Source organism: Homo sapiens, chromosome 13 (genome assembly GCF_000001405.40).
Source record: "Homo sapiens chromosome 13, GRCh38.p14 Primary Assembly".
In the NCBI taxonomy this organism is placed as follows: Eukaryota; Metazoa; Chordata; class Mammalia; order Primates; family Hominidae; genus Homo; species Homo sapiens.
Window position 1 is genome coordinate 66,533,833 of NC_000013.11, and position 27,126 is coordinate 66,560,958.

At 34.6% G+C, this 27,126-nt stretch overlaps 1 protein-coding gene and 1 long non-coding RNA gene across 9 annotated transcripts in view; one reads left to right on the forward strand and one right to left on the reverse strand.

Annotated features, from left to right (window-relative positions):
* The window catches only part of PCDH9 (protocadherin 9), a 927,503-nt gene that overhangs the window by 230,999 nt on the left and 669,378 nt on the right, over window positions 1–27,126 (reverse strand). The window lies entirely within an intron of this gene.
* Window positions 26,553–27,126, forward strand: part of LOC105370247 (uncharacterized) — a 99,761-nt gene continuing 99,187 nt past the window's right edge. For all 4 annotated transcript variants that reach the window (XR_007063818.1, XR_007063817.1, XR_001750076.2 and 1 more), the window contains exons 1-2: window positions 26,553–26,623; window positions 26,936–27,032. This is a non-coding gene — a long non-coding RNA (uncharacterized LOC105370247). The remainder of the gene's footprint in view (window positions 26,624–26,935; window positions 27,033–27,126) is intronic.

Genomic DNA, 27,126 nt, shown 5'->3' on the forward strand with positions numbered 1-27,126 from the left:
CTCCGCAAACATATGGCCCACATTGAACTCCCAAAGGCAGCCAATCACATTAAAATTGGATTTGATGAAATAAAATGAGTTGACTTTTTTTGTTCTTTCTATGTCTTTAGATATAGAAAATAACACTATGAAAGGATCATCATGGCAGCATATACACTTCCTTTGTTTTTATTCCATTATCTTCCTTACCATGGCTTTTAGAAGTGGTATTTTCATTAATGTATATTGAGATTTCAACTTTGGAGAGTAAACCAAACAAATTCACAACTGAAAATGCAGCTAGCCCCAGCTACCATGTCACACTGATATAACAATATAACTTAGAAGGTAGCAGATATTCTCTAGGACTAAAAGTCAGGAAATTTTTTTGTAAAGAGTCAGAAGAATGTGAAAACTCTAGTTTTATAAAGATGGATTGTTTTGAGTTGTTTCTTTTTAAAGTTATTGTCTTAGTTCAGGCTGCTATAACAAAGTACTATAGACTAGGTGGCTTATAAACAACTGAAATTTATTTCTCACAGTTCTGAAGGCTGAAAGTCTGAGATCAAGGTGACAGTATCGTTGGGTTCTGGTGAGGGTTCTCTTTTAGTGTGCAGAATGCTGATTTATCTTTGTATCCCCATGTGGCAGAAAGAGGGCAAGACAGCTCTCAGGGGTCCCTTCTATAAGTGTATTTATCCCACTCCTGAGGGCCCCAATCTCAATATGTAATTAATTCTCTAAGGTCCTGATTCCACCACACTGGGGGCTAGAGTTTCAACATATAAATTTGGGGGGACACAAACATTCAGTTCACAGCAGATGGCTTAATTCAATTTTTATTGTATGCTTATTTTCCTTTCTCTTTCTTACACATATTTTTCTTTAAGTTATGACTGTAGTTGCACACATTCTTATAAGAACTATGCGAACTGGTGACTCAGAATAACTGTCTAATGAATGTAGTATACATCAAGGCCGACAACCTTTTCTAGTACCCCTAGGAATATTTGAAACATAATCTGTTGTTAGAGATTCTGAAATTCATAACAAATTCAAAAATAGCTCTTGTCAACTGTGACACAAGCTATAGTTATTAATACCTGGCAGGCATATTTTATTATAAAACAGTGGCTCACCTTTTTTCCTCAATTTATTGTATAAAAATACACCTGGCTCCCAAAGTACTAAATGGCTCTGTAATAAAGAAGCATTACTGAGTCCTTTGATCCAAATCTGCTTGATTGTTCATGTATAAGTGGCGTGAATAGAAATCAAGTCAGTGAACCACTAAAATTTTGACATTCTGATTAATAAAAATGATAATAATAATAAAGTAACAACAATTTTTAAATTATATTCTTCAGAACATGAAACACTAGAAAATGGAAAGTAAATGAAACAGTAAATTACATGTTAAATAAATGTTTTTAAACATTTTCTGAGTATTCCCATTTCTTTTGCAGCTATTTACCACTAGATTGGGAATTATACAGGAATAAAATGTTCTCTTTTAACCAATATGAAATTTTTTAAAAAAAGAAACAGAGTATCACTGCAACCTCTTTAAGTCCCAAATATCTTACTATAATTCCAAATATTCTTGTTGAAAGTTTCTTAGAATTACAAGCTAATAGGTTGGCTGCATTTACCAGCTGTAGTTACTTCTGCTCAGTCCCCCACTAAATACCAGGTGTGAGAAAAGCAATAGCAGGCATAATCCCAACTACAACAATTTATACCACTTTATATATAAAGTATCAATTTGTTTTGAATTGCCACTTTCCAGAATTTCATACTAAACTGGATTGATTATGAATGTAACACAAGAAAATTTCCCCTTTACCAGCTAGAAAGCAGATATTATGCTTATTATGCTTCCTAGAGGATCGTAGACTCAAGAGACTTGAATCTCAAAAATCCCTCTTCTTTTATGTTCATCTAATTAAAATATTACTCAGGAAAGGCTCTGGTTGACACTGCTTGGGTAACATGCTCTCCAATTTTTCAAGAACCATATGATATCATTGGCAGCCCCCACTATAACTACAAAATTGAAATAGGAGTTTGAGGGAGCACTTCTCCCCAAGAATATGATGCTAGTTACCAGAAGTAAGAAAGTTTCAAAGACTAAACCAGAAATATCCACTATAAAGTGTTTTTGAATGATTCTAGCTATATTTGTAATATCATTAAAATGAGGAAATCAGTTATCAAATGCTATCTTAAAGATCACACGTGTATCTGCTCCTCTGCTCCTCTTCCCCACCACTTACAGGTTATCTGTTAAGTTTAAAAAGCAATTTTTCCATTAATATCTCAATTGATTATTCATACCACCCCATATGGTTGTAGGACAAGTATTACTTCTATATTATAAATAATATGTTCTTTGGGTTTATAAGGCGAGTTATTTAAGGTCTTACACCTCAGGGAGTACAACAGCTGAAGCTCAAACATAGATCTTCTGATTCCTTGTCCAGTGCTCTTCCTTTTATACCATGCAGGTGTGAATGTAATAACAGCAACAACAAAAACAATCAAAACAACCAGGTATTGGCATAATCATTTGGTACTATTTTTTAAACATTAAAAGTAAACTTAATTTTTTGCACTTTTAGAAAATTTTTGTTGTGTTCTTATTTTATATCTTCTAAATGCTTCCTGTATATTTTAATATTCAATTATCACATATCTGTGAGGAAAACATGACTCAATGTGGCTTTTTCTTCTAGGCACAAATGAAGAAAGTCTTGATATTTTTGTATTTTCAAGACAATACAAATACAAATGACCAAGAATAACTTGGAGAAATTAGAAAAATGTTAACTGAATTCTACAAAAATTTTCAAATGAATAGATATAGCTTCTGAAAATTGGATGAATGGAATATTTTGAAAATGTATATGCTAAATGAATACAGTACTGATTTCAAGTTATGAAACCGTGCTTTTCTATCATCACAGAATAGGTACCCAAATAGTTATAAGTACAAGTTGAAATGAGTGGGCGTTTAAAAGCAGATAGACACCAGTTTTAACAATATGTAAACAGACAAGTTGAAGAATTAAAAAAAGTTGCAGAATTGCATTCAACTCATGAGTTTCCTATGACTCAGTCAACGAATTTTAGGAGCTAAAAGCTCTCAAAAAATTCTTTGAAATCCCTTGGGGGTACAACATGGAATTATTAAAATTATAAGTGTACATGAATTTGCTTATTTATCTCTCAACACTGCTGTTTTGACAAATAGACCTCAATTTTGGAAAGGATGAGGATAACTGAATGCATAGCTATCAAGCATGTGTTTATGGGAATGCCAGAAGCATGCTCAGGTATTTCTAATTATCTGCCTCGATGAGAACCACTAGTTGCATTGTACGCACTGATCATGAGCACCCCTGAGTCTTCAGGGCTCATTAGTCAGCCAATGATGCATTATGCTCAGTGAGTGCTGAACATTGGGTTACTCTTTCAAGATATAAGGTCTGGATTGAAGTGAACCTGAAATCTATATCGTCCATATTAACTATTTAATTAGCATATATTTCACATAATTGGTATACATATTTTGATATATATAATAAATAGGTGAAAGAAATAAGATCAGTTGATATATTATGTAGCATAACAGGCCTACAGAGAAGATAACATCCAAACAGAAAACCTCCACAAAATGAAGGAGTTTGATATGCAGATACTGGGCCAAGAGCATTCCAGGCAGAATTTGCTTTGCACATTTGAAGAATAAAAGAAATCCTGCAGTGCTGGAGCAGAGGGAAACGTGGGAGATATGTGGGGTAATGAGGTCAAGGAAAGAGCTTAGGTCTGAATTACACAGAGCTTTCTGGACTGTTAAGAAGGCTTTAGTGTTTACTCTGTAAAGATTAACACAGAAGTCATTCAAACAGTTATTTTAATTTAAATAAATATTTAATTCAGGACACATTTGATCACTGAGTAACTCAGTCACTAAATAGGAAGTGTTCTAGCTTTGGTAGTTTAGTGACCAAAGTGAGGTGAACATTTTTGTTAAATGTTCATCTTAAAAACTATCTAGTAAAATTTTCATTAAACTCCAAATGGACTCTCCAAGTAATTTATTGTGGATTGTTCCTGGGAAAAAATCAGTTTACTTTTCCTTTTATCTTTTTATGTTTTTAAGGCCACTGAAAAATCAAAAATTCATTACAGGAAAACAAAAAGGTAAAATATGTTTTTCTTTACCCTTCTCATTAGAGTTACTTTGGTAGCCTAGTTCAGTGACAAAGATACTCTCAAAAAGTCTTTCGTGCTAGTGGTGTTCAGACAATACAAATGTTTCACTTATATTTTCATTAATTACTGCTTTGCACTGTTGGTTTCTGCATATTATTCATGGAGACAGAAAGAAAGATGATGCGGTAACAATTAAAACATGCACATAGAAAGCAATTAAGACTGGGGAAACATCTACAAAAATAATATTTCACAGGAAGGCAATGATTTAATACTTTTCAATACCTTTTTATAGACAAATATTCAATAACCATTGTCCACAACTAGAAAGTTCGAGGAAATTATTTCACAAGAATGGTGCCTTTTACTGAATTACATTTCCCGATTCTTCAATATTCACATCTCCTGGTGTAATGCAATGTGATGGTCAAGATTCTCCAGAGAAACAGAACCAACAGGACATATATACATAGTGGAAGCTCACAAGTCCCAAATCTGCACAGCAAGCTGGCAGGCTGGGGACTCAGGGAAGGGCTGCAATTTGAGTCCAAAGGAAGTGTGTTGGCAGAATTCCCTCTTCCTTGTTGGGGGTCAATCTTTTTTTTTTTTAATTAAAATCTTCAACTGATTGAATAAGCCTCACTCAAATTATGGAGAGTGATCTGCATTACCTAAAATCTACTAATTGAAATGTCAATCTCATCTAAGTAAAGTTTAATCAAGTATCTGGGTACTTTGGCCTAGCCAATTGACACATAACTATCATACATAAGATGAAGACCATTACAGGTTTGGGATGGAATGCATTTTTCTCCAGGGAGTGTAAGAGTCTAGTCTTAGCAAAATATTTGACGGAAGATTATTCTTCAGTGAGAAGCGTAATATTAAATATAGTGTCTTCCCATTTTAGAACAATTAAAATAGAAACAAAACTTTAAAATAAATTATATATACACATGTCTACATTAATCTATGTTTTTAACACAGTATCTCATGATTCTAAAACCATTGCAGAAAATAGAAGCAAAAATGTACAACAAAATATATGTACATATATATTTATATATTGCAATATTTACCTGTCTAATATGCTCATAGAAGATTTTAGAATTAAAATTTTTCTCTCTCTTGATTCAAACTTCTCAGAAAAATAGTTTACATCCACTACCTTCACCTCTTTAACAATATTCACTCAACATCTTACTACAATCTACTGGAACTACCTTCATTGAAGTTACCATTTACATCTTGATATGGTTTGGCTGTGTCCCCACCCAAATCTCATTTTGAATTGTATTTCCCATAATCCTTATGTGTCATGGGAGGGACTCGGAAGAAAGTAATTGAATCATGGGTGTGGTTACCACCATGTTGCTGTTCTCATGATAGTGAGTTCTCATGAGATCTGATGGTTTTATAGGGCCTTTCCCCCTTTTGCTTTGGATTTCTTGCTGCTGCCATGTGAAAAAGGACATGTTTACTTCCCCTTCTGCTGCCATAATATTGGGAGGTGAATACAATCATAGAGCTCAGACATGGCTGGAAGAATCACTCAGCTGAGCTCAGCCCAAGTTACTGACCCACAGAATCTGAAGCTAAATAAATGGTTATTGCTTTAAGTCATGGAGTATTGGGTTTTTTTGTTTGTTTGTTTTGTTTTTACACAGTAATACATAACTGATAAACATACTTGCATTATTTTTGTAAACACAAAAAGCTTAACATTTACAATTTTTTTTGCCTTGCTGCCTCCCCAAAAATTATTTCTAAGAGATACCCAAAATAATATCCATATTTTATATTTTCCTATTTTTCTTTATTTTTTTATTTTCTTTTTTTCCTTTTTTTTTTTTTTTTTTGAGACAAGGTCTTGCTGTGTCACCCAGGCTGCAGTGTAGTAGTGGAATCAAGCTCACTGCAGCCTTGACTTTCTGGGCTCAAGCCATGCTCCTACCTTAGCCTCCTGAGTAGCTGAGATTACAGGCCTGAACCACTATGCCCAGCTATTTTTTAATTTTTACTTTTTTGCAGAGACAGGGTTTCACTATGTTGCCCAGGCTGGTCTTGAACTCCTGGGCTCAAGAAATCCTCCCACCTCAGGTGCCAAAGTGCTGGGATTACAAGTGTGAGCCATTGTTCCTGGCAAAGTTTAGAATATTAATGACTGATTCCTAAATAATCTTCTAAATAAAACTGAGCAATAATATATTGAATTTTGGGGAAAAAAGGCAGTTTATACACATTTACATATTCATGAAGGAACCGCTGAAAAGCAAATTGTAGGCTCATATAAATATATAACATTGTAGTGCTGCTTTTGTAAACAGTAATTTTAACAGGAAATTAAATTTTATCATAATCACAAATCAAACTTTCAGTTCTGTTCATGTAAGTTAAAGGTAACTTCTGCTGCATGAACACCATAAGCAGAAATTTTATTATTAAGCTTTTTTTACATAGCAACTAAATTTTAAAGGTTTCTTAAAAGCTCTCAAGGATAATTTTATATTAGATGCCACCCAAGACACAATTAAAATTTTATGCACACTTATGCTGACAGTTGTCAGAAAATGCCTTGAGAACTTTGCATACTTTTCTTTCTGTATAAGAACAATTAATACAGATTCCCAGAAGGGTACGTAGTGTACGCAAGTAACTGGTTGACCCCCTTTGGGCAGATTTTAACTGCATTATGCCTTAGATATACAATAAACCATTAGTGGTAATTAAAATTCATTTAGTATCAGTGATAAGCTAAGGTATCATTAAAGGTCTTGACTTTGTCCTTAATTATTTGGGTTATTGTTTTTATTTAATTAGATCAGTTTAATGAGTCTTTGGTTGCAGTGTGACTCTACATTGAGCAACACACCTTGAAGGGCCACATCTTTGACAGCCTTGGCTGCTCATTTGTAATCTAATGGAGTTAACTTATTGAACTTCACACACCAGATTAGGTTAGTGAATTCTCTTAGGAAAGCAGACTGGATTGGGTTACAAGTTTTGTCTAGATTTAGTAGAATTCAATTCAAGTCAACTAATGATGTACATTAAACAAACTCCTCTGAAGAATCCCTTCCTCCTTCTAACTATAAATTACACTTATCCATTTCACTACTTTAATAACTATAAAAGACTCTGAAGGGAAGTTGCAAAATGGGGCATTCCCTCTTTATACAGACAAAGTCCCAATATTCTCTCAGATGGCACAAAAGTCATTTAAGGTTTCTCTGTGGAAGTGTCATTGTTCTTTTCTAAAATAATGTAAGGTAGAGAAACCTCCAGGTGTTAAGAGTAATGAGAGTATATTCATTATTAGTGTTGTCATACAAAACTACCACACACAAGGTGGCTTAAAACAACATAAATTTATTCTTTCACATTTCTGAGGGCTAGAAGCACAATATCAAGGTGTCAGCATGAAGATATTCGCTCTGAAGGCACTAGGAAAAAAAATATTCCTTGCCTCTTTTAATTGTCGGTGGTTTCTGATGTTGCTTCGCTTCTGACAGCCTAATTTCAATCTGTGCCTCTGTTTTCATATGTCCATCTTCTCTGCGTGTTTCTGTGGCTTCACATAGTGTACTTCTCTCCGTTTCTCTCTCCACTCTTCCAAGGGTTTGGCATTGGATTTACGGACCACTCTAACCCAGTGTAACCTCATCTTAACCAATTACTTCTGCAAATATCCTGTTTCCAAATAACAGGGCCACATTCTGAGTTTCCAAATGGACATGAGTTTCGGGTGGAAACTGTCTGACCCACTACAGAGTAGATACTCAGTTATAGACAAATAACTGAAAGAATTCTGAAAATGTGCTCCTGCATCTACTTGAACCAGAGAATCAGAGAAGTTCCTTGGAGTTTTGTTTATCTGTAAATTGATTACTGTTTTCCTTATCTGTAATTGGTGAGTAGTTTTCCTCGTCTGTAAATTAATGAGGCTCTTTTAATTTTTAGTTCCTACAATGTTTGTTTGCATTTAAAAGGCTTGCGCATATAGATAAAATGAGTTAAGGAAAAGCCTTGGGAGATCTGTGTAAAACAGCAGATGAGAAGCCTTTAAAGGAGACAATGTGAATATTTTTGGTGGGTTTAGACTAATAATCATTTTTACCATAAATGATATCATTTCTATCTTATTTATGTAAAGTACTCTGTGAAATATCCAACGGAATATTTCCACTAGTGACCTAATGACACGAGACTACAAAATTAGGTTTGATCAGCAGAATATACCAATAAAGCATGTTATAGTTACTTTAATGTGTTGACTTGACTAGGCTATAGCACCCAGTTATGCAATCAGATTCCAATCTTGGTGTTGTTATGAAGGTGTTTTATAGATGTTCATATCTATAATTCGTTGAATTTATGTAAAGAAGGTTGCCCTCACTAATGTGGGTGTGCCTTGTCCAATCAGTCGAGGGCCTTAAAATCAAAAAACTAGAATTTTCTGGGAAAGAAGAAGTTCTACTTCCAAGCTACAACAGCAACTACTGCATGAGTTTCCAGCTGCTGGCCTGCCCTATCCAATTTAGACTTGCCAGCTCCTACAATCGTGTGAGCCTATTCCTTAAAATAAATATCCTTATGTATATCTATGTGTGTGTTTTTAAACATTAAAGTCAAATATATATATATTTAAATATATATATGTTTAAATATATATATATAAAAACATATATATGTTTAAATATATAAATATATATCTCCGAGATATTTATATATTTATATATTTAAACATATATATATTTAAATATATGTATATATAAATATATATATCTATCTCCCATTGGTTCTGATTCTGTGGAGAACCCTATACAACTATTATGTATCTATCATATGAGAAATAAACACTTTTTTCTTTAAAAAGGTGAGCCACATAGTCATCATAATAAAGGAAATTTTCAATATTTATAACTTTCAAATTAATATGTGTGTGTAGAAAGTCATATGGTCATAAAATGCAACTTTCCTTAGAAGAAATATACAAATATAATAATAATGGAGTGTTAATCAAAATATCTTTACTTTTCAATAATTTTACATGTTTTTATTTTTACTCCATTCTATATTCTCATTAACGTAATGCTCTTCTTGAGGAAGAGTATTAAATAATATCAAATCAGTTGCACGTTAGATGAAAATCACTGACACGTTATCGTTTCATATCACTAGTAGACAGAATGAAATAATCAGCAGTATATATAACCTGCACCTCAAATTTAGTCAAAATAGTTATATGAGTAAAATGATGGCCGGGCACAGTGGCTCACGCCTGTAATCCCAGGACTTTGGGAGGCTGAGGCAGGTGGATCACGAGGTCAGGAGATCAAGACCATCCTGGCTAACATGGTGAAACTCCCTACTAAAAAATACAATAAATTAGCCAGGCGTGGTGGCACGCTCCTGTAACCCCAGCTACTTGGGAGGCTGAGACAGGAGAATTGTTTGAACCCAGGAGGTTGAGGTTGCAGTGAGCTGGGATCATGCCACTGCACTCCAGCCTGGGAGACAGAGTGAGACTCCGTTTCAAAAAAAAAAAAGATTAAGTAAAACAAAATTTAATCTGTTCAGTTAGTAAAATTCTTTCCAGTTTGAGAAGTGAATATTCACCACTGTAAGAAAGTTAAAGAGGGTATACAGAAAAGTCAATTGAATTAAACATATTTAAAAAGACACCTCTTAAAAACCCAATCTTTCAAACACCATGCAGTATAAACAAATCAGAAAAAGAAAATATAGAAATGAAACACAGTACACAGTGGTGCTGTGCTACAAGAGCTTTGTCTCTAAGCAGAGATCATGGAGACTGAAATTACCCTTGGATCACATTCTGTGATGCATTCTGGAAATGAACTTAACGGGGACACAGCCAACTTCCATCACACTTGCAATTGGTGCTCACCTCTAGAGGGCCATCTACTGAGTCTGAACAGCTCCTTACTGCCCAGTGGTTGAATACAGGTAAGTTCCATATAGTAATGCCTTGACTCCATTGTTTACAGATACAGAATTAGAAATGTACCATCATTGAATTATTTTCTTCCTATCTGATATAAACTTTATACTTATGATATACAGGACCTTTGATGCCTTATTTAAAGAGCAGCAAGCTCCCATGACTACAGGGACTGGATCTCTCTATTTTGCTAATATTTCCCTATTTCCTATCACTGTTTTTCGGTCCAGTATTATATTACCAGGAAAAACTTCATAATGAACCTTTACCTGTTTCCTTAATTGAATGAAAATGTACACTGACAATGTTGACTAAGGACATGCCTGACTCTTATATGAACTTCAGAACTTACCAAACATACTCAATTAACTTCAGTAATGGTGGTTTCACACAAACACACACATTCATATGACACGTATATATGAAAGTGATGCAGGCCAGGCAGGTGAGCCCCCGAATTGGAGCTTAGGCCTTGAGGGTTCTTGGTTTTTCCCAGGAAAGAATTCAAGAAAGAGCCAGTGGTGTTAGGAATCTTTTATTGAATGATATTGCTTCTAGTAGAACAGTGCTACCTTACAGGCAGTTCACCCAGAGTTAGCTACCTATGGGCAGTAGACAACTGTATCTGCAGGTACTTGCAATTATATGCAAATTAAGGAGTGGTTTAATGTAAATTGAAGGACAGGTTATTTAGAACTTTCTATGAAAGGAGAGGTAACTTCCAGGTTTTTGCCATGGAAAGGGGCAGTAATTTCCAGGTTGTTGCCATGGCATTTGTAAACTGTCATGAGATTGATGCGGCCATCAATACATCTTATGCTAATTAACAATTAGAGCAGCTAGGGATTGTTTTCCTCTCCATATGGTTTCAGCCAGTTTCTTCATTTTACACTGCCTGGACCAGATCTTGTTTTACTCAGCAGGGTTGTGAACAGAAAACAAGTCTTGCAGGTCTCCTACCTCAAAAGGGCAAGCTCATTTTTATTCAGGCTGATCTAATATTACTTGGCCAGTTTGAATAACAGACTGTTTAGTGTAAATACAGATCGGATATAAAAATGGTTCAAGCAAACCTAGATGTCCTTTAAATTTTTGGTACCCTAAGACTACATGATTACATTGAATAAGAAAAACAAGGTATTTTTAATTTCCTTTATTTGATTTGCATGTTAATTCTCATTAAGTTTGTTTTATTGGTCACTTAGAATCAAGGCAAATAGGAAAATAGCTATTTGCATTGAGAAATCTACATATTTGTTTTATCCTGTTTAAAATATCTGGTATACTAAGTGAGCCAGAATAAACATTCTGATACTGATAAACCTATCTCTAGGTTTTTATTCTCTATTAAATAGATTCAAAATAGAAACATATCAAATGAGTTAATAAAAAATTTCAAGACATGTAATAAAAATCAGGCTGTTTTAATTAGATGATGGCATGTCAATTTTGCTTCCATATCTGATAAAATTTGGCTTTTACATTTTTACAAATTATACACTTATTGTCATACACAGTAATGTGCCATATTATAACATTTCAGTCAATGACAGACCACGTCTATAACTATGGTCTCATAACATTACAATGGCACTTGAAAATTCCTATCACCTAGTGATGTTTTAACCATGATACCATTGTAGTTCAATGCCTTATTCAATTGTTTGTGATGATGTTGGCGTAAACAACTCTACTAGCTTATTAAAAGTATGGCACACACACTTATTTACAGTAGGTAGTACTTGATAATGATAATAATCTACTCTGTTACTGGTTTATGTATTTACTATGCTATACCTTTCATTTTTATTTTACTTTATTTTATTTTATTTTATTTTATTTATTTATTTATTTATTTATTTTGAGACGGAGTCTCACTCTGTTGCCCAGGCTGGAGTGCAGTGGCACATCTTGGCTCACTGCAAGCTCCACTTCCCGGGTTCATGCCATTCTGCCTCAGCCTCCTGAGTAGCTGGGACTACAGGCACCCACCACCATGTCTGGCTATTTTTTTCTATCTTTTTTTAATAGAGACAGGTTTCACCATGTTAGCCAGGATGGTCTCGATCTCCTGACCTCATGATCCATCCATCTCGGCCTCCCAAAGTGCTGGGATTACAGGCATGAGCCACCGCACCCGGCCATCTTTATTTTTTAAAGTATACTTCTTCTATTTATTAAAAAAAAAAAAAGTTAACTATAAAGCAGCCTCAGGTAGACCTTCCAGAAAGCAGTCTAGAAGAAGGCATTGTTATCATAGGAGATGACAGCACACACATGTTATTGCTTCTGAAGACCTTCCAATGGGACAAGATGTGGAGGTGGAAGACAGTGATACAGATGATCCTGACCTTATAGGCCTAGGCTAATGTGTGTGTTTGTATCTTCGTTTTTAACAAACAGTTCAAAAATTAAAAAACCATTATAAATAGAAAAAATTTAAAATAGAAAAAGCCTTATAGAATGTGGATATAAAGAAAGAAAATATTTTTGTACAGCTATAAAATATGTTCCTGTTTTAAGCTAAGTGTTATTACCAAAGAGTAAAAATGTTAAAAAAGATTGAAAGTTTATAAAGTAAAACTACTACAGTAAACTGAGGTTAATTTATTACTAGAGAAAGAAACAATTAATATATTTGATTTAGCTCAAATATGCAGAGTTTATAAAGTTTACAGTAGTGTACAGTAATGTCCTGGGCTTTCCCGCTCACTGCTCACTCACTGACTCACCCAGAGCTATTTCCAGTCCTGCAAGCTTCATTTGTGGTGAGTGCTCTGTATAAATGTAACATTTTTTACTCCTTTGTACTGTATTTTTACTGTGTCTTTCCTATGTTTCCATATGTTTAGGTACACAAATATTTGTCATTATGTTATAATTGCACTTAGTATTCAGTAAAGTAACATGCTGTACAGGTTCCTAGCCTAGGAGCAAATTAGGCTATGCCATACAGCTTAGGTGTCTGTAACCTAGACCATCTAGTTTTGTCCAAGTACACTTTATGATGTTCACACAACTATAAGATCACCTAAGGACACATTTTTTAGAATGTATTCTGTCATTAAAGGACACATACTGTAATTACTTCAGTCTTCCACCTAGTTATTCATCTTACCAAACTTTATAGAAATGAAATTCAATTTAAAATTTGTAAATTAATCACTTCTTATTTGTAATGTCAGCAGTATTTGCTAACAAGCATTACCTACTATTGAGATCACAGTAAAGCTTACATACTTTGTATGACACCTTGAAGAGCCAAGAGTGCCTTAGGCACATTTATTCTTAATCTGAGGGTATTATATGCCCTAGTGGAAAACAAAACAAAGCAAAACAGTATCCTTAATATTCTGCATTTCATAGTTAACGTTTTTATCTTTGTTCAAATCAACAGAGTCTATAAGGCAATTGTTGGGCGATTAAGGTTAATTAAATTGACTTTCTAGTAACCATTGTCATACTCTCCCACTGAACCATACAGTAGATTTTCTAACGGGTGCAAAGGTGATTACGTTCTGCACTACTTCCAGTATTGGAAAGAACATTCTTACATCCTGTCTGTACTTGTTTTAGAATATAGTCTTTCTTGTTAACTCTGATCAAAGTTAAATATGCCCATGATAGTTCCACTAATTTTACCCAAAAATAACATAAATAATTGCCATGTTGATTGTCTTTAATAATTTGTGAAAGGAAATTTTCTTGGGAGTATTCTAATTTTAAAAAGTGATTTGCCCATTTCCCCTTCGGTATAATAGAGCAAGACTGTGAGGCCCATAAGATAGAATGCGCATTTTTAAATAATCTTGATTCAAGTGGATATGTCAGTATATAAATTAAGTCATAATAATATGATATTTAATTATATTATTATATAATAATATGATATTTAATCATATTATTATATAATAATATATTTAATCATATTATATAATAATATATATATTTAATTATAAAATAGTAAACTTAAAACAGTGAGATGTATAGAAGCTTTTTGTTGTTTGCGTGTGTATTTGTATGTATGTATGTATGTATGTTTGTGTTTTCGTGCCCATCTTTTCATTACCTTAACTGTTAAGAAGAGCAATTTATACCTTCATTGTGTAATAAGTTGTGGTATGCCAAAACTTAACACTGAAGTCTTCTGGAATCGACATTTTAAATTTTGCAATATTAGAGCCTCATAATTCAAATTGTCACTCCATTTATTAAAGGTCTATGCCTGTAAAAAATTTAAGTGCAAATTTTTTTCTTATTTAAAATTTTTTTAAAAAACACTTTCTTAGGCCAGGCATGGTGGCTCACACCTGTAATCCCAGCACTTTGGGAGGCCAAGGCGGGAGGATCACCTGAAGTCAGGAGTTCAAGACCAGCCTGGCCAATATGGTGACACCCTGTGTCCACTAAAAGCACAAAAATTAGACAGGCATGGTGGCATGTGCCTGTAATCTCGGCTACTAGGGAGGCTGAGGTGGGAGAATCGCTTGAACCCAGGAGGTGGAGGTTGCAGTGAGCTGAGATCATGTTGCTGCACTACAGCCTGGGTGACAGAGTGAGACTCCATCTCAAAAATAAAAATTAAACGTTCAAAAACTAAAAAAAAATAAAAACAGTTTCTGTAAGTTATGAAACTCTTGCCTTTGGATTTGGATTTGTTATGATCGTAATAACTATAGTGATATCCACTTTAAAAGGCCTACATTTGAGCAAAATAGAGTTTCATTTTCATGAAAAAAATGGGAGCTTTTCAAAGGTAATTCTAATTATTAGTCATGACACTCATGAATAATGCTTATGTTTACTTTTTAAATTTAAGAAACACTCTCCCAGAGTAACCAAAACTTGAAAAGAATCTTGAAGTTTTAATTTGATTAAAAATGCCATCGATAATGTTTTTTATTAAAACATTATATGATTAAAAATCAGAAGCTTATTTCTGATTTTTAATGTTTTGTTAAAAAGGAAGTTTTTAAAGTTTCTTTTATTTGGATAATTAATTCAAGGAAAACCATACCACCATAAGTGAGAGAAGACTTAAACTTCTCAACTCATTGCAATTTGTCTTATTCTATTTCCAAGAAATTCTTTTCCTCTGACATATGTTTCCAAGGTAGCTTTGACAATTTTTGATATATGTATTTAATGTATATACGTACACAAAATATATACATGTGTATATATAAATCAAGCCTATATATAAATGAAATGTATATAAACCGTATGTATATGTTAGCATGGCAGCATTTTCGGTTAGCTTTTTGTTTGTTAAGAAGTTGGAGTTTTGAGGGGAGGGGGAAGGATTAGTACTTTGCATCAAATAGCTTGCTTTATGATGGTAGAATTGCTTTTACTTTTGTGATTTTTTTTTGAAGTGAAATTCAGCTTTTTGCACAAGTAGTGCTATTATACACATCATCAGTGTCTTACATGTACTGTATTACATTCCATACCCTCATTTAATTCTTAATAAACTGTACATATACCGTATCACATTCCATACCTTCATTTAATTCTCAATAAACTGTTCACTTATTTTTTTTTAAAAAAAGGTTTTTTTGGACTGGGTCCAGGGCACTGCTGCTCAGTTAAACCTCTTTTCTTTAACTGACCTCTAAAGAGGTCAAATCAGATTAATTTTTTAAGAGTTTGAATCAAAAATTTGATCTAAATATTAGGTATATCTTCGGAGCACCTATAAAGATCATTTTGTTGGTTATATGGTAGTAATCAAAATAATTAAGGCTGGGTGTGTTGCCTCATGCCTGTAATCCCAGCACTTTGGGAGGCCAATGCTGGAGGATTGCTTGAGTCCAGGAGTTCCAGCCAGCCTGGGCAAAATGGCGAGACCCTATCTCTATTTAAAACAAAAAGAGAATTAATAGATGAGTCTGTAAGAAATGCCACTTAGGACTCATGGCCAAAATAATACTATTTTTTTTCTTAAGATTCTTGAATAGAAAACAAACTTGTATCAACATTAATTGAAAAAAATACAATATCTCATCTAAAAACTCACCTTCTATATTTAGCCCAAGAGCAATCATAATTTTTAAAGGAGGAAAGTCTATAATTCAAAAACATTTTTCAGTGAAGAGCACAGAGATAATTCAATACAGATAACTTTAACTCTTTAATTTTAATTTATTACTATGTAACATCTATATTCTTATTTGCTTAATGTTGGTTGATTTGCGTTTTATAATAATTGTTTAATGATTTAAGCTTCAGGAATAAATTCAAGTAATAGAATATCACAGAAAGTTCATAAAACCCTTATTATGAAATAGAAATTAAAATATACTTAGTATTTATATCAAAAATTATAGTATAAGAATATTAATATTTTATAAGCTTTCTCAGAAACAAATGAGATTGAGACTTCTGGTTTTTCCCTAATATCTCTTCCCAATTACCCCATAGAAACATATGTTATGGTTGGTTATGTGGACACCCTGATATATTTTTCAGCCTGCTTTGGGAGGCTAAATGAATTGTAAACACTTTGCATGGGATGTGTTTGACCTCTTCTTCATTCCCTCCACCATCTTTCTGCCAGGTTGATGGAGCTAACATCTTGAACCTTAAGTTAAAGGCAATGCATGGTGAAGCAAACAGTAAAAAGAAGCCTGTGTCCTTGATAGCACAGAGCCCCATATCAGTTCTGAATTTTTACATGAGAGAAAAATAAACTTTCATCTTGTTTAAGCCACATGCCGTTCGGGTTTTCTGTCACTTGCAGCTAAACCCCCTCTTACCTAATACAGATTTGTGGGAAGGAAGAGGGATGATGCCAACTAAATAGGCTGGCATTTTTATCAACGAACACTCATTCTTTACCTTTTAAGTGATTCATGAACACGCTAGAGAGACATTGTAAACTGAATGTTTATGACAATACAAATGATACTCTAGACTAATATCCCTGATTTCTCTGCTACAACTTGTTTGATTAGCCCCTTGACATTACTCTCAATTGAGGGAAAGCAAAAGTAATTCATGACATTTTTAGAAATGTGGCTAATCTACTTTCACAAGCTTTCCAGCTGGGGATTTCAAGTTGAGGGTGACTATAGTTAATTTTTTTAATTTCTCATTTTCTAAGGGAACCAGAGCTTTTCTACTAACAAATACTTTATTTTTTGCTGTTATTGTTGGCTAAGAGTGTCTTTACTTTGAGGTGATGTGTAACCTCCCTAAAACGACCTTGGAACTCAGATCCCCAAGGACCATATCCAATTTAAGCTGTCTCCACCAAAGGGAAGCTAGATTGTTATTTTTTATAGGGACGGACTTGAAGCACAATGCATTTCACTGTGGAATAGATACGGAATATGATTCATAGCACTGCTCACCAGGTGAGGAAAGGGCACGTGCAATCATATGTCCTTCTGCTGTTCCTCAGCTTTCTCTCCTCTGTTAAAAAGAATTACAAAGCAGGTGGCAACATAGGGGAAAACTGAGAATGAGGAGGTGACAGGAAATGAAAGAGTTCTAGAAACATGTCAAATTTAAGTCACAGTCATGGTGACAGCTAATCAATTTTTTAAATTCTCCATATACTCTACTTCTAATTGATAGTGTAAACATAAACACTGATGTCCCAATGACATAGAAGAAGTTATTTAGTAGATTTCAAGTCTGAAGCAGAAACAAACTTTGGTTAATTTGTTAACCAAATTACCAAATTGAATTTACCAAATTTTGGTAAATTCAAGGCTATGGTCAGCTATCAGTGTACATTTGTAAATTATATTTTTTTCATCTTCTGCGTTAAAACCACGTAGAATAATTTTCTACTTTCAAAAGAAATAAAAGCACATATAATGTAGGACAGCAATTTCAGGGTCCAAATAACCGATATTTGCTTGTTCATTTTTTCAAATAAAGAAATAAATGTATTTCATATGAAGATTTTGTCCTGAGTGAGAGACGTATGTGATTTTTGTATCATTCATTACTAAATATTAAAAGCAAAATGAACCTCTTTGTGAACAGGCTGAACACAAAGAATATTAATGTTGCTTGTCTTATAGTTGTCAATCCCCTATAGAGTTCTCTCTCCAGGCCACCAAAGATGAGGCGACTGATGCCTTGTTTTGTCCTACCACCTCTCTACCTGAATCTGTTTTGAGGCAGATGTTCACCCTGATCTCTACTCTTACATAGTCTATGGCAAAACAGTGAGACTCAATATTATCCATGTCACTCCCAAACGTGTAATCTTGGTTGAATTTTACTGATATTGATTCCTGGATTCTAAATTATTCCCCTATCTCAACCTATGCTGCTTTAGTGTTTAGTTCAGTGGAGAATTTCACAGTCAGCGTTCCTTTGGGCTATTTTTCTGGGGTCTCCTAGGCGCGATATTTGCATGTCTGGATGGCTTCCTCCTATCTCCGTTTTATATTGCCTTAGACTCTCAGTACTGATATGACTAATAGGAGACCAAAATTTGTATGATGTGATTCCCTCTCAGGTTATGTGAACATAACTCCAATAACTGCTGAACTATTCAGTGAATCCCATGCCAGAGCCTGATGCCTGTCTCAATTCTTTGTGTTGTTGAGGTAGTCAGTCTTGCCTTCAGTTTAGTTCCATAAACTTACACTGAGAACCTACCACATGCCAAGAACTGGATACATGGAAGTAAAAAGATAATGATTAAATACTTTGGGGGGAAATCACACATATAAAAATCAACATAATGTGTTTGATAATATCAATGATTGGTCTGGAGATTTAATATTTTGTAGTAGTGAAAAGAAGAAAGATGAGGAATGTACTAGTCCATTCTCATGCTGCTAATAAAGATATACCCAAGCCTGGGTAATTTATAAAGGAAAGAGGTTTAATTGACTCACACTTCAGCGTGACTGGGGAGGTCTCAGGAAATTTACAATCATGGCAGAAGGGGAAGCAAACACGTCCTTCTTCACATGGTGGCGGGAGAGAGAAGTGTCAAGCCAAAGGGGGAAAATTCCCTTATAAAAGCATCAGATCTTGTGAGAACTCGCTATCACAAGAATTGCATGAGGGTAACCACTCCCAAGATTCAATTACCTCTCACCTGGCCCCTCCTACAACACATGGATATTATGGAAACTACAATTCAACATGAGATTTGGGTGGCGACATAGCCAAACTATATCAGGGAACTATACCAGTCAAAAAGAACATTCAATTCCAAAACAAAAAATCACTAACTATTTTGATGCAGGCTGAAGAAAGAACCAGTATGACAGCAAACCTTCCTTATGCATCCTTGTATCTCCAGCACCTAGCTTATAGCCTAGAGAATAGTTGAAATTTACTAAGTACTTGTGGAATGGATTATTGATTGACTGAATTAATAAATATTCTTAGAATATATTAAACTGTTGGATAAGTTAAACAGATTATGTAAAATTCTTACTGATACAGGTCCGTGACTCACATATATACCATATGTACTAAATTGTAGTATGTCGAGTTGTTTTGAAAAGTGGCTTTATTAACTACTTTCATTATGGCACAAATGCCCAAAAACAGAGCAAATACTCCACTAGAAATTGGAGAGTTGGTTATGATTTGTGTTGATTGGTATGCACAGGAAATAAGCCTGGTCCTCAACAGAAATGTGATTTGAGTGAATGCCAGGGAGTACACAATTTTGTGTTAAATTATTTGGAAATTTACAGAACTCCACAGAGATATTTCTTACCAATACCAAGTACCTCTTGTATATAATACATGCAGAAACATGTACACAAAATGTGGACATTGTATTTTCTCTGCAATTTGTCAATGTTCCCCCTTTTACACATTTGGAAACTATTTCTATTTCCATTTTAATAATAAAATTCCAAAAGAACTATTTAATCTTAGTTTCATAAAGTAACTTTATATACAAAAATAATAATTGAGAGGTGCCATAATTATTTCATTCCATTTACATAGAGTTCATATGGCTTTGTGGAGGTTTCTGAGCATTCTTCTTTTTAAATGCTGAAATAATCTTTAGTTCTAAATTGCTCCTTATATCAAAGCTCCAGAGATGCATAAATGATGTCAATAGGACATTTCAAACAAAGAAATGGTTAGTCCAAAACAGACTGGGAGAAAACTATATTGTTTATAACACTCTGTTCTGTATTTTAGAACCTTAACAACCCTTCTAGAGAAGCTGAGCCAATTGCTAATCAATAGTAATTATTTTTCTAACCATCTAAAAAAAATCCTTTAACCCCTAAAAGTAAGTTTGTTAAAAAGCCACATACTTATTTTCTAGTCATTAAATATACAGCCATTGCTTGAGTTTTAATATTTATAATGTATACTCTTTTGCAACTTTAAAGTAGGAACATTTTCAGCAGTCGAAGGTAAAATAAAATCTTTTCCCAAGAGGTAGTTTTAAAAATAATAAGTTTTTGAATGATTAAGGCTATTACATATTTCTAATCTGCCTTAACATTTTGTTGAATAAGGGCATTTTGTTGAATAATACAGATATTAAATGGATAGCTAGATATATAAATATACTATGAAATATTTTTTCTGAATTAAAGTAAACTAATAATTATATGTAGTTTATACTTTTAAAACCTCAAAAAATCAGGGCACAAGTGCTGTTGAACATTTTTGTTAGCTTACAGATAAATTGCTTCCATGTAAGATTTTATTAAATGAGTGCAGGATGTCATTCTTAGCCAATAGCATTAAGAACTTCTAGAGCTTCTAAAAGAAAGAGATACTAAAGATTAATTTAAACATTTGGAGAAAAAATAAATAACATATTAGCAAATTAAAGGTGAATAACAGGTTTTAAATGAAATAATGGCCTTAGAAAAAAATAAAGAACATAATATACAATATAAGGTAGTTTTGTGTGTCCATTTAAAAAATGCTTCTTGCGGCCGGGCATGGTGTCTCACGCCTGTAATCCTAGCACTTTGGGAGGCCGAGGCAGGCAGACCACCTGAGGTTGGGAGTTCAAGACCAGCCTGACCAACATGGAGAAACCCCATCTCTACTAAAAATACAAAATTAGCCTGGTGTGGTGGCACATGCCTGTAATCCCAGCTACTTGGGAGGCTGAGGCAGGAGAATTGCTTGAACCCGGGAGGCGGAGGTTGCAGTGTGCCAAGAACACGCCATTGCACTCCAGCCTGGGCAACAAGAGTGAAACTCTGTCTCAAAAATAAATAAATAAATAAATAAATGCTTCTTGTATTTTAGTTCTGTGCTAAGCTATATATTTGCATTGGAGACAAAAGAGTCATTTCACAGAAACCAATAGTACTTTCTTTCAAGTGTTTTTTGTGTCTTTTTATAGATTCTCTAATATAATTAATGGAACTACTGAGTCATCTACGTTAGAAACCTAGATAGCAATTTTATATGTCCTTGTTCCTTTTATCATCTGAATAGTGGCTACATTCTGGGGAAAAAAAAAAAAAGCAATATATGTTTTTTATTCTTTGTTACCACTGTTACTGGCCTACTTCAGATTTGTGTTATTTCTTTTAACCTCCCTCTTGAAAGTATTTAAGTTTTATTTGCATACCATAGTTAAATTTGTTGTACTATTATAATCAACTTATATTCAAACTTGTCATTTACACATCAACGGTCTCCATTAAAACTGGTAGATCACTGAGGGTAGGGCTTTTGACATTTTCATTTTTTAGCCTCTATTATCTAAGACAATATATGAGCTGAATGAAATTATTTTCAGACTCTTATCTTCAGCATTAGCTACTATTATGAACCTTTGAATGCAATGTAAAACCTAGTTTAAATTTATTCACTGTGTTCTACAAAAGCAATTTAATTAACAATGGGTATGGTCCCAATAAGTACCATGAAATTTTAAAAAACTCTAGATAATCGGTACTACAGTCACTATTGAAGTTTTATATATATATATAAGATATATACATATTATATACATAAGATATATACATATTATATATATAAGATATATACATTTTATATATATAAAATAAATATGCTGAAAAGTGTCTTTATTTCTACTGAAAGACAGAGAACACAGTTCCGATAAGTTTTCTAATATTATTTTTTGCTGATGATAATATATGTGTCTGTTCTGTATCAATTTTAATTTATTGATTATCCTCTTCATTATATGCTGCATTTTTCTGCATCTTTGGGTGCCTGGTACTGAATGCCAGACATCTGAATGTTATCTTTTCAGTAGCACCGTGTTTTTTGACTCCATATTTTTTATAACTGTATTTGAGGATATATAAGCTAAATATATGTATATACATTTAGCTTATTTTAAAAATCTGTTTGTTTCTCCCAGAGCATGAGTGTAAGATATGGGGACTAAGAAAAATTGGCTACAATAAAATTAATAGTTTGCCATCCTCATGTAGCTGTTCCATTAGGAACATACAGTCTTCTAGGTCATCTCAGCTGAGAAAAAGAGACAGGCTGGAGAATTGGAATTTTTATTAGCCTGAAAATGATATATCACATTCCATTGCCCCAAACTGGTCAGATGACCCTGCCTAACTGCAAGGCAGTTGGGAAATACAGGAAAACAAATAGGATATTTTTAGTAAGGATGACTCTATCTCAATAACCAATGATTTATATGTTGTAAATGGTATTGTAATATGCTGACCATGTTGTACTAGTAAATTATTTCTGTGATGTTTGCCTGAACTGCATAATTTAATCATAAAAATTTTTAAAGTAAAACAGAATAAAATTCTAAAGTATTATTATTTTTACTTAAAACTATATTGTGGCGAATACTCAGGCTATAGCTGTTTGGTAGAAAGAACAAACAATTCCACAACCCCTCTTTGAGACAAAAGAGTACATTATTTCATAACAAAAAGGGCAACAAGGAGCTAGATAGAACAAAACCTAAGAATCTAAGTATGATACAGGTACAACTAGATTGGCAGCTATGTTATATTATTTAAAATCAATACTTAAGAGCCTTTCCTTCTTCACAAAGATAAAGGAGTTATCAGAGCTAATGGCTGATGTGAGAGCTAAGCACTGCTTTAACAGATTACAGGTCGATTTTAATTTTGCTTTACAAATTACAAAGGAGCTCATCAATAAGATTATGAAGGAGAGACACTCAAATACTGCTGAGGAAGTAGTCCACCCTTTCAAGTTCAAATGGATGCGAGGAGAATATAAGAGGAAATAATTCTGCCAGCAGACATGGCAAATGAATGTATTTTTTGTTTGTGCATAAACCATTCAAAAACTTACTAACATAATTACATTGAAACAGTAGCTGGTAATTATGTATCAGTTAGATTTGGTGAGAAATTTAGACAAATTTTCTTGATTAATTCAAATAGAGATCTTTGTGAATATTTTTAAATATACAAATTATCAATAACAAACAATATATTCACTGAGACTTTAAAATGTAATAGTAAGCGTAGTCTATTTTACAAATTCATATTTTGGAATTATATTTTATTTAGGATATTTCTTTCACAGATCATTAGAAAACTTCAGAGAAACATATGCTTCTCATCTGCTCATAAATATAGAAATCATCATGTACATAATTACATGGTGATTTATATTGCTTTCTCTTCGCTGTAACAGAAACCAGCATTGCCCTCTGTACTGGTTACAACAGAACTTTCCTATAAATTTAGCAAGCGTTTTTAACAGTAAAGGGAAAACTCAAAGGAAGATAAACTATTATAAGTATTTAGAGTTCTGTTAAGCTTAAGGATACAACCAATATCTGAAGGAGAAGATGTGCTAATGATAGAGTGGTTTCTGATAAATACAAAGGTAGATGGAGAGTACTTATCAAGACTGGGATAGGATTGTATGCAAAGGTTAACATCAGAAATATAATCGCATTAGAGACAAAGAAGAGAAGTGGGCTGGAAACAGTGGCTCATGCCTGTAATCCCAACAGTTTGCGAGGCCAAGACTGGAGGATCGCTTCAGGCCAGGAGTTTGGAGACCAGTGTGGGCAACATGGAGAGACCCCAATCTCTACAAAAATACTTAAAAAATTACCAGACGTAGGGGTGTGTGCTTGTAGTTCCAGCTACTCAGGAGCCTGAGGCAGAAGGATTGCTTGTGCCCAGGAGTTTGAGACTGCAGTGAGCTATGATTGCACCACTGCACTCCAGCCGGAACAACAGAGCCAGACCCTGTCTCTAAAACAAACAAACAAACAAAAGCCAGCTCTGCCACTATTTCTTTCACATTCATTACTAAATTACATTAAATACTAAAATGCATTAGTACATTGAAAGAAAGTATGTTTAAAAAGACTTTTCAGAGATCATTTTACAAACTATTAAACAAATGTATGCTTTTTTTAAAAAAGCCTTTTATGACATGAAAAAATTAGCATAGTCATAAAAGAAGTGAAGGGTTCTGTCCTGTGCTGTCTTGTAAGGAGGTGGAGGGGAGGTCATAGTGCATTTGGCTCCTGTCTATATTTTTCTGAAGTCATTTTGCTGGGCCTCTGGTGAGATCCCATTCTCTGCAAAGTACACAGAAAAATATTTCACAAGGGGTGAGTTAAAGAGTTGCTGAGGAAGAAAAGACCTCCAAAACACTCTGGCACAGACAGAAATTTTTTTAAAAAACCTTTCCTTCCTCTCTGAAACTTTCAGAAAGTGCCCTAGTACACAGTCAGTTCCTCTGGAGCAACTGCCAAAGTCAGAGCCTCAAGCAGAGAGGGCAGGCGCTAACTGTAAAAGAGCTCAGTCATGCAAAGTATGGGCTTAGTCTGGAAGATGCTGGGTTCCCTTCAGACCACTCTGGATGCAGTCAGCCAGAAGCTAAAATTTGGTTCTCAAGACTCCTTGGGGCAAAAGTTCAAATGGCTTATTCCTTAAGTCGTTCCTAGGAGTTTCTAGGATTGCTTTCAGTTGTAATTAAGGGAACTAAAATTCTGTAAACCAAATGGAAGAATTCGTCAATGAAGTGAGACATAATTACCTGGTGAGTTCTTAATTTGTGCTTCAATGGCAGAGCTGACATGCACAGAGTTTTGAAGTCTTGATAAGTGGGGTCAGTAGGAATGATTAAAAGGCTAGGACTGGAAACTTTCCACTTAGTTTCTCTTGTGCAGTGACTTACAAACTAGTTACTTCCTTAGCAAGAATTACCTTCAATAGAAACCAGAAGAGAATTGTCAGGAGTAAAGAATGAAAGATCTAAACCTTCTAGTGACTAACTTATATCCCATCAAAACTACTCATATGTTCACTTTACTGATACCTAGTAATCTTGGTGATGTAGTAAAGGATTGTGTAAACAAATCAGCTAAGAGCTCATATTTCCTGAACTCCTTCTTTCCTATGCTTACAAAGAAGGAAAATTTGCCTTTGATGTTGTATTGGAAGCCACTGTGTGTTGGCTTTATAGCCAGTATTTTATTATATGTTGTCTTATATAATCCTACAAATCTCTTCAGGAGGATATGATCTCTGCTTTAACATTATGAAACTGGACTTCATAGAAGTTAAGTAACTACCTGATAACAAGTAACTTAAAAATACGGATCAGGAGGCCGGGCACAGTGGCTCACGCCTGTAATCCCAGCACTTCGGGAAGCTGAGGTGGGTGGATCATGAGGTCATGAGATCGAGACCATCCTGGCTAACACAGTGAAACCCCATCTCTACTAAAAATACAAAAAATTAGCCGGGCGTGGTGGCGGGTGCCTGTAGTCCCAGCTTCTCAGGAGGCTGAGGCAGGAGAATGGCATGAACCCAGGAGGCGGAGCTTGCAGTGAGCTGAGATCGTGCCACTGCACTCCAGCCTGGGAGACAGAGCAAGACTCCATCTCAAAAAAAAAAAAAAAAAAATATATATATATATATACACACACACACACACACACACACACACACGGATCAGGATTCAAATGTACTAACGTGATACAAGGCCTATCACTTTTTAACTTCACCATACTGTATTTTCAGTCATTTTAACATACACAGCTAATGAATATCTATCTTATTTGCACACTTAGGATAATAACAGAAATTAAAAGTTGAACATATGCAGTTTATTTTGTCCAAAATATAATTGTTGTTTCTCTGTGTTGGGAAAGGCTGTCTCCTGCATGCAGTCCTGTGTGTGGACTCCATTGGACCACAGAAGAATGAGCCTTCAACCCGAACACTTCCTTACCAACAGATAAAGAGCCTTCACAGCATGTGCCGGGTTTATCGCCTGGTATGGGAATATCTTTTCCTGTTTCAGACTCTGTATACTCCTTTAATCTGCTTAAGCTCATATGTCAATGGCCCTCAGACACACCTCCAGCTTTCTGTATTTCAGACTGCATGGGAAGGGGGAGGGGTCCCTCTATTGCAGCACAAAGTGGGGTGGGTGCAGCTAACTCCCCACATAGCATAGCTGTGAAGTGGATCCAGTGGCCCTGAGGGACCAACACAATGTAAGGAGCTGGACCTTGTGCACTCTTGCTCCTCTCTTGCTGTGAGTAAACACTGTATGGCTTGAGTCCAGCATGTGTGTTTTCTGTATCACAACCTCGGGTCGTGCATTGGTCTCTTCCCTGGAAGGCACTTTTTATCTGTCTTCTAACCTTGGCAGCACAGCCCGGCCATCCAGTGAATGATGAAATACTTAGCACTTGTTGTCATAGTAGGTAATTTTGTGAATTCAAATAAATAATCAGCTAATAAAATTGGCTTCAAAATACTCTTGGATTGGAGAATTGAAAAGGCACATTTCACTCAAGGCATCTTTGCCCCTGGGCTGTAACTTAAAATACCTCTTTGATTTCAGGCCTCCTTATCTAACTTCTGCTCAGTCACCTCTGCATTCTACCTGTAGAAAAGTGACTCAACATCATTCCAGAAGTCCGGAATTCTACAAGAATCATGTAAGTCATATAAAGGACTGAGAGGTGACAGCGTGCTAGCAGTCCTCACAGCCCTGGCTCCCTCTCTGCGCCTCCTCTGCCTGGGCTCCCACTT